Here is an 11,934-nt window from a genome sequence, read left to right as displayed (position 1 = left end):
TGTCAGCCTGTCATCCATCCATCCCTCCATCAACTTGGTTAGCATTTTGATACTGGTATGCCCAAGACTCCCTCTGATGCTAGTATTCGTGGATTCTGCATATTATCTAACTTCCGCGCAGAGACAAAAGTACACGTTACAGGCTAAGTACATGATACAGGCATCCAGAATCATTTATGTCTTGATGACTGCTAAATTTCCAGGGCTCAATAACTTAGTAGGTTTCAATAAATGTGTTGAATGAACAAATTAGTTAATTCCTAGAAATTGATGGAAGATTGACTTAGGTTATAGGTACAGTAAAAACAAATACCCCTGCCTCTAATTAAAAAAAATAAATTTACTTCTTCCAATTGCTACAGATAATTATCACTTATATATATTATGTACAATATTCTCTATTCCAAAATGTATTTCTGGAGAAACACAGATGAGCACACACTGGCAAGCATAGAGCAGTTAGGACCTAGCAGGAGTAGACCAGCAGTCCTGCAGGAATACAGCCCGAGCTTCTGTAGCCCGAGGCCCTTACTGCTATGACCCAGGCCACTCCCCTGTCTTGAGCAGGCCACACACCAGCAGCACCAGCTGGGTTGTTAATTGTTAACTTCCAGCTTTGCCACTTCCTTCCTTCTCCAATAGCTTCCAGTACTTGTCCTGATTTTTTCTTTTCATCTGCTTATGTTCATGACCCCATTTTCCCCTACATACCAATCTAACCACCCAAAGACATAAATAAGAGAATAACCTGGTGAAGTGATCTCCATTAGAACCAATACCACAAATATTTTCAAGTTTTCTTGAAAAAAAAAAAAAAAGACTATACTCTCAAGGATCATTTCTATAGTTTGTTACTAAAGAAGTTTCTCTGAATTTGTAGAGCACCGAAATTATTAAAAAAAAAAAATTAAATTCCCGGTAGGAGGAAAGTAGATACTAACTGTGATGTTACCCCTTGCTTATTTCTTTGAAATGAAATAAAACTGGCTTAAATGACAATACACACATCCATGTTTGCTTTAAAGTCTTTATTATCCCGAATATAAAAGACAGAGTCCTCTAGGATATAACAGAGTTCTTTACGTGGAAACATTATTTTTTTACAAGTGAAAAAATAAATACCTCTTGGAATAAAGGCTTATATGCTAATATGTGCCATAAAAAAGTAGAGTTTTAATATTTGACAAAATGTCTGTGCAAAGAAACAAATGCATAAACACATTACTGCTACATTAAGGCAATATGAAAAGTATACTCAGAAATCTCAGTAAAGTGACAGTGTAGGTTTCTAGCTTTACCTTAGCTAGTATTGCACCCGATAAGGTCATCTAGGTCTCCCGACATCCCAGAAAACCTGCTAGCTGACCAGCTTCCAAAATGCCCAAGTGGGAGTGGAAAACATGTTTAAGAAAACAGAAGCAAAAAGAACCAAAACCCCTTCGAAACATACAGAGGGGACAACCCAAAGTTAATACTTAAGCACTTACTTTAAAAAAACACAACAAAACTCCCCCCCCAAAAACAGAAAAGGACACCATATCTAAATACTTATGGTAAGGCTATAAAAGGCTTGAACAGTTCAAGCAAAGCAACACCAGTGGGTGAAGCTGGGATCGAGTGCTTGGGAGAAGTGATGAGTTAACTACCCTCAGTTGTACACCATGAGGCTCCATCTCTCACTCAGCAAGCTCCGCTTTCCCTTCCCAAGGAGAGTGCTCTCTGTTTTCAGTCTGAAATAAAATATTCCACCAGCTCAGAAGGCCCGGGGAGTACTTGACTACTCCACAGTAATCTTATAACAAGATTGGTAGTATTTTATAATCGAAAGGCTTGTGGGGTAGGGATAGGGGGAGCGTAAAGGAATAGGGAGCCACCCACATTGAGTGAGCTGCTTTTTACTAGCCACACTGGTTTAAATCTGACAACATTGTCAACTTTTTAAAAGTCACAGAATTGATTTGTAAACCTGTTTGCCTTCCAATCATTCTTGATCAAGTTATAAAGACAGAAATGACATTAAAACGACAACAATTTACAAAAGACTTTCCTATTAAAAATGGTTGGAGCTCCATGACCATACAAAAAGAATGAAATTCTTAAAAGTAATTCTTACAAAATCTGCTGCCAGTAGGAAACTTACCTCAGGATACATTAAGGAGACTTACAACATCATTTCCTAAAAGGTACCCAACTTTTTGGCTATGTTGCCACTTCACTGACATCAAAGACTTTACCTATTCCTTTACTAGATCATAAAAAAAATCAACATCCAAGGAATGTGTCTGCGTCCCAGAGCTCCTCCTGGTCCCATGACTGGAGTTGTTGATTCTACGCATGGATATGTTTTTGCAGTGAGGAGTAGCTGTGTTATTTTTCTTCCTTTTTTTTTTTTTTAACATCGCATGGCAGATGGGTGTTGGAATAATTACTTTCTCCACAATCTATCATTTTAATAGTTTATAATAGTGCAGTTCATGGAAACATGCCAAGTCCAACAAAAGCACAACAGATTAGATTACAGTCAGATTGAGAAGACTGGTGTGCGTTGGCAGATAGACGTGCTGGACATGCTCCACACGCGACCTGCAGACGGGACATGACTGGGAAAGAAAAGCCAACAGTCTCTGTTAGCATGCAAGCCTCGGTGGGGGGCCTGTGTCTCTGTGCACACCCCTGGTCTCTAGTGCATTTAATTTTCTAAATCAATTGTGATCACAGTGATTTCTAGCTTTCAATTGGTAGAGATCTTTGCCGTCTCACAGGTTGAAAGTTTATACTTTACAAGGGCTTAAAAATAAATACTATGACATAGTATAAACTGAAGGAAATTAATTACATTTTTAGTGAAACGCTAAAGAAGGTACATTGAATAAAGCAATTACTGAAGACGTCTTTCTGTGCAGAATGTGGTCTCTACATGAGTAGACTATAACACTTCAGGCAGCAATGCAGGAGACCCTTCTTGAAATTGTGTGTCCTTAGCTCAGCTGACTGACTCAGGCCAACATTTCTGGGCTGATGCCCACATGGCCAGGGAGGGTGGCTCTGCTTCTAGCCGTAGGTGGCAGCTCCACATTCCTGGCTGACTTCTCAGAAAGCCCGTGCCCATCATCAGCCCTCAGGAGAGACTTAGGGATGAGAGTCAGAATAGGTGGGCAGAAAAAGACAAGCCTATGACTGCTTCTGGGGAAAGGACACAGGGGTCATTTGGTCTTATTAGCTCTGAAATTAGCAGCTTCTGAAGGACTAAGTATTATCTAGAACCAGTTTTACATAAAACCACAGTGACATTTGGCAAACACATCTGAGAAATAAAAACAAATTGAAAAAACTTGTAAGAGGAAATTTAAAATTCTTCTTCATGCAAGAAAGGAAGAAAACTATATGTGAGTTCTCTTTTTCGTGTTAATATTAAAATTAGTTTGACTTGCTAATAAATAACAGCCAACCCATATGCCCTTGAGGCATTTGCAATCATAAAAGGAAATTAATCACCAATATCACAGAGTCAACAACCCATCCATGGATAATTGAGAAGTATTCTTTCCCAAATATCTTAAGTAATAAAGACCATCCTCCTAAGTGTCAGAAAAAGGGAGGCAACTTGAAATAGAGGAAGCAGCCCTGGGCCAGGCCTCAGGAGGCCTGGATTCTTGTCCTCAGGTAAGCCGCTAACTAGATATGTTACCCAGGAATCTCAGCCTCATTTTCAGAACTTGAAAACACTGCATAATTTGGAGTAATTATGTTGTTGAAAATAGTATGCTAATCTAAAATGTTTCTAAAGGGCAATGCCTTTTAGGTCACCAAATACAAAGACCCTTTCCGGGTGAAGATGGGCATTCCCCGTCTGTGCATTAGCGAGCCAGTACCTGGCTCCTACTCCCCGTTAAGAGGAGGGATAGGTGAGGCTGCAGGCAAAAGTGGGCAGCTGACTCCCCTACCTGTAGCTGGGCGGCGCAGCTCTCACAGCACACAGTGTGGCCACAGGGACAGAAGGTGGAGTTGATCTCCTCCTCGCAGCACACCATGCACAGCATGGCTTCCTTCAGCTTGCGTAGCTTCTCCTGCAGCACCCGGGTCTGCTGGCAGCTGAGGCCCTCGCAGCTGCTGCAGTTCATGCTGCTTTCTGAGGACTTCAGAGGCGAGTGTGAAGGGCTCTGGTTGTTTCTTGAAACGAGGTCCACAACGCCAGCATTGTACAGAGCCCTCCTGGCATGGTCATACACCTCCTTTGATGTTCTTTTAATATCAAAGACATATTTCTTGCCAAGGTTAATGTTTTCATTCAGAAACAGAGATGCCAAGTGGCCCTTCAAGTCACGGCTATACTGCATCATCACGGCGCTGGTCACTGTGTCACACCTGCAAGGCAAGATTGAACATCTACTTTAACACCAAAGAGCCTGGCAGCACCCTTATTCGCTGTTGTCAATAAGAACAGAAATGTCAGCAGATGTTTCATAGTCTCGTCTGCATGTATGAAAGTAAGTCCTTCCAGTTTTACGTCTGGTAAATATTCTCAGTGATTACACCTCTGTTTCTCTAACATCTCCTGACATTATGGCTTCCGTAAAGCAGTAAATACAGAGGGCAGTGAGCACGTACCTCCTCCCCAGGACAGACGCTACTGAGTGAAGTTGCTTATGGAAGAAAAAGGGCATCTGCCTGAAGTCTTGGCTTTTAGGTTAGAAATGTCTAAAAATTTCCCATCCTGTTTCACAATTTGTGTATCTATTTTAAAATAAAAAAGTTTAAAGTTGTCTACGACTTAAATTTCTTAGCTTTAATTGTCCAAATACGTGAGTCCAATCACAACTTGGCTTTAAAGTACCCTCTGAAATGAGGGAATCAATATTGCTATTAAAAAATCCTTCCATACACAGTGACGACTCAGGATAGCAGCTCTGCCAGAAAGAAAAGATGATCTGTGCTATCCTTCTCCTGAGCAGTGGAGCAGGCCCAGTCCCTCAGGGTTACCTTTAGGGTAATCAAACTTGGCTTTGAAGCTGAGTCCTAGACTAAGTAAATAATTATCCTCCCAGTTCCCTCATCTTTAACATTAGGGTAATAATAACCCCTTAGGGTTGTTGTATTGATTAAATAGGCATAGAAATCTCCTAACACACTTTGTGTCTAGATTAATGGCATAAGAGAATACGGTAGGAGGTAAGCAGAGAATGTGTTTGTGCAGCTCACACACATGCACCTTCTGTGGGTAAAACAAGACTACATTAATAAGGACTCCACTGCTACTACGGAAACAAAATGTTCAGAATTTCTTAAATTCTGTACTAGACTCATTGACACAACAATCCAAGGAACCGTAGAAACCTGGTTGTCACCTAAAAACCTGAGAGCTGTGGTGCTGAGGTGACCAAGCACACGAGATACGTGCCTGTAGAATGCGTGCGTCTCTGTTATCGCTCGGTAGAGCCCGCTGGCCGCCCTGGTGCTGATCATTTTAAACAAGAGCACGATGCTGTTCCCAGATTCCTTGGTGACCGTCAAATATACATTCTTTCCTGACTGGGTGGCCATCTGCACCACAGGATAAGCTATCCTAAGAGACAGGAAGAGAAAAGAAAGCAGATCTAGAAGGAGTGATTCTTCACCATGTGTGTGCCTTTGTGGGATCCCCATTTGCTCATGACCTAGCAGAAAAATCAGACGCTTCCTCTGGGGTTATCACATCACCATAATGCTGCCTTATTGTAAAGATACAGTGAAAAGCAGTTGGGCATATGTGGAGGGAAGTATGGGAGCAAGTGCTGGGTGTGCGCACATGCATGTCTAGAGCTGAAAACAAGTTTTTTATGGCAGTGAATGGGTTATTTGGAAAACGTTAACTCTGCCACATTGTATACCTTGAATAACATTTAAAATGGTTATTTAGGCCTGAATAAAATTAATGTACATACCAAAATGAAATCTTTCATTCCTAAGAGCTGACTGTCGAGTAAATCCCTTCCTATTTTCTATTACATTGACAGCTACAGATGTATACACATGCTTAGGTCAAAAAAAGTTAAGTCTTGGCTTACCTATTAATTGGGCTAAAGTCATCTTTACAAATTGAGATTCCTTCAGGTCCAACCCCAATGAGCAGTTTCTGCCCTTCGCTATCCCGCACAGAATGCCATTCTATGCCATAGTTTTCCATTGCCGACACAATCTGCAAAACTTGGTATTCAGCTGAAGCCTGGCTGGTCCCCTCCAACTCCTTATGTTTTGCAACAATGCTGGAGGACACCAAGAGGACAGAGAATTAAGTATACAGATATTAGCTTTAGAGATAAACCTATGTAGTCTTCACGAGTGAAATATACTAACACTGATGAATCACAACAACTTAAAACTTATGTATTACTGATGTTTCATGTATTTAGCGAACTTACTATAAAAAACGTCTAAGACACTGGGATCTCAACTATTAAATACTTGGTAAAAACACTTTGGGGATGCTGGATGGGTGATGAATTGGAAGAATTATGGAAAGTCTCTAAAAATATACATAAGTCAAATTTACATATTGGAAAGTCTCATGCATTTGTCCACATATAGTTTATAAGTATAAAGTTGACCCCTGAGGCCCCTGTGGCCAGGGAAGGAGGTAGGCCAACAAACCACAGGAGTCAACCTGGCATGGAGGCCACCCTCAGTCGAGCCTTCAGATGAGACAGAGTTCTACCTGCAGCTTGACTACAGTCTCATGAGCCAGAGGACCCAGCCAAGACATGGCCAGATTCCTGACCTACAGAACTGTGAGACAATTTTTGTTGTTTTATGTCACTAAGTTTTGGGGTAACTTGTTATGCAGGAATAGATAACTAAAATGCCTATGTTAGATCTCCTGGTTTAATTCTTGCTGGGATGAAGAAAACACCAATATACATAATAGATTTTTTATTTTAGGAGATTTGTACTTAAAGGCACAGATTTAAAAAATTCCCATTTTATATAGCATTTCATATTGTGTTTACATATTTTTCAAATAAAAGGCTAACAAATTTTTTGAAAATATTTGGTTAAATTGGGCAATGGCCCAGTCTTAACTTCACAAATTATGTGTATGTACCACAGATTCATCTTCTTTTGGAAATGCTTATACATTTGATAGCTCTATGAATATATGCAGTAGCCCTGATGCTGCCATGTTCATGCTCTGGTGTCTCTGGTCTTGCTGCTCCCTCTGTCCTGATGGCCATTCTTTCTGTCCCCTTGCTTGGATACCCTTTGGTCTGTATCACATGCAAATCCTCTATTCCTCTGGTACAGTATTTGACATAACATGTATATTATGTATGACTTCTTAAGTGCCTCGAACATCAGAGAGCTCAAAAATGTACATAAAACTGCATATTATGTGTGATTAGTTTACCTTCCAACCTTAGTTTCATCCTGTTTAAGCCTATTCTAGTTGTAAACAATACTATATTCAACAGCCTCACCTGTTCAAGGTGGCAGAGGAGAGCTCCTTGGCACAGAGCTCCTCATAGTTATACTTGGCAGTGTTCTGGTTGTAGTCTCCAAACTTGGTCTGGGCCAGGAGGGCACTGAGTTCCACTGCCTGCTCTGGGGAACACAAGAGGTGGCCTGCCAAGAGGGCCTCCTTGATGTGCAAGAAAAAGATATGCCTGCAAAGCAAGGTGAGAGTGAGGTTATGCTTGGGGATAACCTGACATCAATCTCAGCCTACTTAGCAATTTCACAGTCACTTTTAAGGAAAGCAATTTTAAAAGTCACACTGAAAATGCTTAACATTAAAGAACTTCAAAAAAAAATCATCAGTATTAAGGCAAAATCAAAATAAGAACTGCGTTTCTCTGGAATAAAAGTTGTGACCCAAACAAGATAAACTTATTTAACACAAGTTCGGTAACATTAAGGTTACAAAACATAAAATAATTACACATAAGTTTCTGCATTATAGTGTTTTAAAAGAAATTATTTTAATCAGAAAAATTGTATCTTGACATGGATTCTGATAGAATCTTAAGGAACTCTATACATAAAGACAAAATTCTCACCTTTATTCAAATGATACCCCAATCTCTAGTCTCAGTGCCAGCTTCTGTCCTAAGAATCACATGAAAAATGTCCAATCTCCTATAGGCTTCACCACCTGGATGTTCTTCGGTACCTCAATTTTGGCTCATTCAAAACCAAACTCCATATATTCTTTCCCAAGCCCTTTTTCTCCGAATGGAGACCACGGACTGACTTTGGACTCTTTGTCCTATTTCACTTGACTTTCTTCTCTCTGAAAACTATTTAAATCCAGTTCTATCCTCCCATTTGTACCTCCTCAATACTACTTGCAGGAAGAATTTACACTATTCTCTGCGCTGCTCTCCTCCTCCAGACTCCATGCAGGCAGCCTACCTTCCATGCTGCTTGTTTCTAGTATAAACTTGTCATTTCTCTGCTCAAAATCCTTCAAAGGATCTGTACGGCTTGCCAAGGGAGCACGTTGTTAACGTGGAGCTGAGGAGTCTCCGCCATCTGGCCCCAGCTTTCCAGCCACGTCTCCTGTCATTCCCTGCAGCTGCTATGCCCCAGGATAGGGAACGATTCCTCTCCCTGGGAAATCTAGGAAGCATGTTCATGCTCTGGTGTCTCTGGTCTTGCTGCTCCCTCTGTCCTGAGGGCCATTCTTTCTGTCGCCTTGCTTGGATACCCTTTGGTCTGTATCACATGCAAATCCTCTATTCCTCTGGTACAGTATTTGACATAACATGTATATTATGTATGACTTCTTAAGTGCCTCGAACATCAGAGAGCTCCAAAAATGTACATAAAACTGCATATTATGTGTGATTAGTTTACCTTCCAACCTTAGTTTCATCCTGTTTAAGCCCATCCTAGTTGTATACAATACTATATTCTACATTTACTAAAAGGTTATGTCACACTTAAAAACTCCTGTAAAATTCAGATACTGGTCACACTGCCCAAAACTCTGAAGAGCACCTAAACTGCTGTAGACAGATTGGCCTCAGTTATAACAAGTGTCCCTGGCAAATGTGAAGTTTTAACCTTCCTTCGATGACTTGTCATAACCTCTCAAACAAGGCTAATTGCCACATTATTCGTCCCATTAACAAATGAATTGTAACTTTGGCCAGGTGCGATGTCCTCAGCACTGTTTCTGTTTAATAATATATCTGTGTCTGACATTCCAGGTAGAGGAACATGAGCAAGGTAAGAATCGACTAAGGAGGAGGCAGTGAGGCTACAAATCTAAGGAGGTGCTATACTGAGAGTCTACAATGTCTGGCTGACAAGAGCCATTAATCTTATTTTCACTAAGAAGTATTTAAATTCAATGTTTTGTGCATTCTATAATGATAAAGAAATATTTAAAATGATGAAACTCTGCCAAATACTGCAGTTTTTTCTTTTTTTCAAAGCCCGTGTAAAGAAATCATAGTAAGAATGTGTAATAGCCTCAAAGAAGATAAAGATGGTTTTTATTAACCCAAACATCTGCTAATCTTTAAAGTATTTCTGACATACTGCTAAACTGAGAAAGGAGCCCCCACTGGGGCAAAGGAATCACCATGAAAATAATTTGCTGTAAAATAGCTATCTGAGGACTGAGATCCAGCATTCTCAGCAAGCCGTGGTTTACTACACTGTTGCAGGCCTCAAAAGGCTTCTTAGATGACCATTTGATAAACTTCATCTTGGTGAATGTACCCATCTCTGTATTCGACTGGGGTGGAGGTGTGCTGTTAGGAAACTAAAATCTGCATCTATGCTTTCGTTAAAGAAGAAATTACGCTCTGAAAGACTTGAAGAATATTGCCACAAACGAAGTCTTCTTAGTTTAATTACTGCTTATGTAAAAGTGGCCTTTTTTTTTTTTTTTGAGATGGAGTCTTGCTCTGTCGCCCAGGCTGGAGTGCTATGGCACGATCTGGGCTCACTGCAAGCTCCGCCTCCTGGGTTCAAGCGATTCTCCTGCCTCGGCCTCCCGATAGCTACATTAGACCATGCCTGTCTAATTTTTGTATTTTTATTAGAGACGGGGTTTCACCGTGTTAGCCAGGATGGTCTCAATCTCCTGACCTCATGATCTGCCTGCCTCGGCCTCCCAAAGTGCTGGGATTACAGGCAAAAGTGGCTTTTAACTTATTTTTCAGGTGTAAAGTTAGAGACTAGTTCCTGCTTTATTAGATAGTAAGAAGAGTTTTGAATCAATTCCGTGTCTTTTTGCAACCTATCCATGCCTACACTTCCGGAGAGACAGTGGCCAAAATCAAAGGCAAAGAAGCAGTAACAGAATGTAAACAGGTGGCAGGCAGCCTGAGAGCACCACTGATCCTTCTCAGCATATGGGCCAGAATTTAAGAAAAGATCTAGCAAGGGCGATGATTGACCTTTTCGACATACTCCACATTCTAGCCTGGAGTGCAGAGGATGCCTGGTAAGCATGAAAAATCCTTCTCCTTACTGTCAACATCAGCTTTCTGATAGTCCCTTCCTGCATTTTGCAGTTTCATGGCTATAAAGCAACCTTTTCATTTCAAGCCAATAAATATTTGTCTTGCACCGCCTCTGTGCCCAGCCCTAAGCTGGGGTTTTAGGGTAAACATGTCTGAGAGTTCCTTTTTAGATGGACTTACAGCCTTTTACAATAAAGGGACATATCCCATCAAAATAACTCCAGCCACAATCTAGCTTTTGGGTGACAAGTTTATGCTCTCCAGGAGAACAGTACAACAGAGTACTAGTAGCAAAGATCAGCACTCTAATAGGCTCTTTCCAAGACAGAGGATAGCAGAGCTCAGAGACATGTTTCCAACAAGAACTTCAGTGATGGCTCAATATTTATGGGTGGTTTTGAATCAAGTATTTTCTCTTAGTATTTTCCCCTCAAACCATCTGGATTGTAACTATCTGGCTCCTGGGTTTTGCCCCCTCCTTTTTTTTTTTGTAAAGTAGGCAAAATGTTACCAATAATATCAAAACAAGCAGATGTGGTCAAATAAGTTATGCCTGCAGTGAATGCTTTTGCACTAAAGATCAAAAGTAGATGACATATTCAATTCAATAGAGGCTACATCCTAGAATCACAAACAGAAAGAAAGCCTTTGGAAAAAAACTGTTTTCTCTGTCTTAAGGAAATGTCCATGAATACATCCTATGAGCATAAATAAGCTCAAACTGCACCTTTTAAACATTCTTCGGGTTATACCTTCTAATTCATGACTCTTCTTTAAGTTTTACCCAGTTACTAAGAAAACTGATATTTTCAATATATGGATCACATTTTGGGGCCCAAGGCGTAACATTCTGGCTAAACTCATGTCCTGGCATCGTGGGCACAGATGAATTAACATTTACTGAGCATTATAGATTTTTTTTTTAATGGAGTGAATATAAGGATATGCCAAATTTTAATTTTAAAAATGAATCACATATTCTTACTATATTTTTCTTTCAAAGTACTTCAAATTTTCTCTCTTTTAAAAATTAATTCCTTCTTACAATGTTAAGGAATGAAGTTAGATCATTTATCTTTTAAGAGTTGTAATCAGAGAACTTTCCTCTAAACACAGGCTTGTCTCATAAAGCAATTATCTAGGAATCAAAGCAGAACTTCCTGCAAACCAATTGGAAGTTGTTCATCTGCTCATCATAGAGGGTTCCTCTCAGTTACTGCCCTCCAGTTACCTCACCAGTTACACCATTTTTAAGAGCTTTTAATGACAAATGTAAAATAACTATATCCAGATTCATTATTGAACTCAAAATTTAAGAACTAACCTACATCTTTAAAACAGCTAAGCAGCTATTTTTTTCAAATTCTCAATTACCAATAATTGAATTGTATTTCTCCTGGAGAGCCATGACTGACTCTAGCCATAGTGAGTAATGGCTGGTTCTGCTCTCACCTTGTCAGAACCCACGGTGATCATCAGCCAG

At 40.2% G+C, this 11,934-nt stretch overlaps 1 protein-coding gene, 1 non-coding gene and 1 pseudogene across 22 annotated transcripts in view; 1 reads left to right on the top strand and 2 right to left on the bottom strand.

Annotated features, from left to right (window-relative positions):
- Nucleotides 1–11,934, bottom strand: part of MYLIP (myosin regulatory light chain interacting protein) — a 34,802-nt gene that overhangs the window by 14,626 nt on the left and 8,242 nt on the right. For 15 of the 21 annotated variants that reach the window (XR_007059254.1, XR_007059255.1, XR_007059253.1 and 12 more), the window contains exons 3-6: nucleotides 7,452–7,637; nucleotides 6,045–6,242; nucleotides 5,399–5,563; nucleotides 3,945–4,365 (exon numbers count right to left, since the gene is read on the bottom strand). Coding sequence is in view for 5 of the 21 variants with exons in the window: in XM_017010789.2 (XP_016866278.1) it covers nucleotides 3,945–4,365; nucleotides 5,399–5,563; nucleotides 6,045–6,242; nucleotides 7,452–7,637 (970 nt within the window). In the remaining 16 variants the exon portion in view is untranslated. Of the gene's footprint in view, nucleotides 1–1,013; nucleotides 2,601–3,944; nucleotides 4,366–5,398; nucleotides 5,564–6,044; nucleotides 6,243–7,451; nucleotides 7,638–11,934 lie in introns of those variants that run through there. The other 6 variants (XR_007059257.1, XR_007059256.1, XM_047418683.1 and 3 more) reach the window with 3 other exon arrangements.
- LOC124901514 (uncharacterized) lies at nucleotides 817–897 on the top strand (annotated as a pseudogene).
- MIR4639 (microRNA 4639) lies at nucleotides 7,638–7,706 on the bottom strand. Its single transcript, NR_039782.2, has one exon. It is a non-coding gene; the product is annotated as a microRNA 4639 (primary transcript).

Source organism: Homo sapiens, chromosome 6 (genome assembly GCF_000001405.40).
Source record: "Homo sapiens chromosome 6, GRCh38.p14 Primary Assembly".
NCBI lineage: Eukaryota > Metazoa > Chordata > Mammalia > Primates > Hominidae > Homo > Homo sapiens.
The sequence above is the reverse complement of the archived record's forward strand: the minus strand, read 5'-3'. Positions and strand labels throughout refer to the sequence as shown.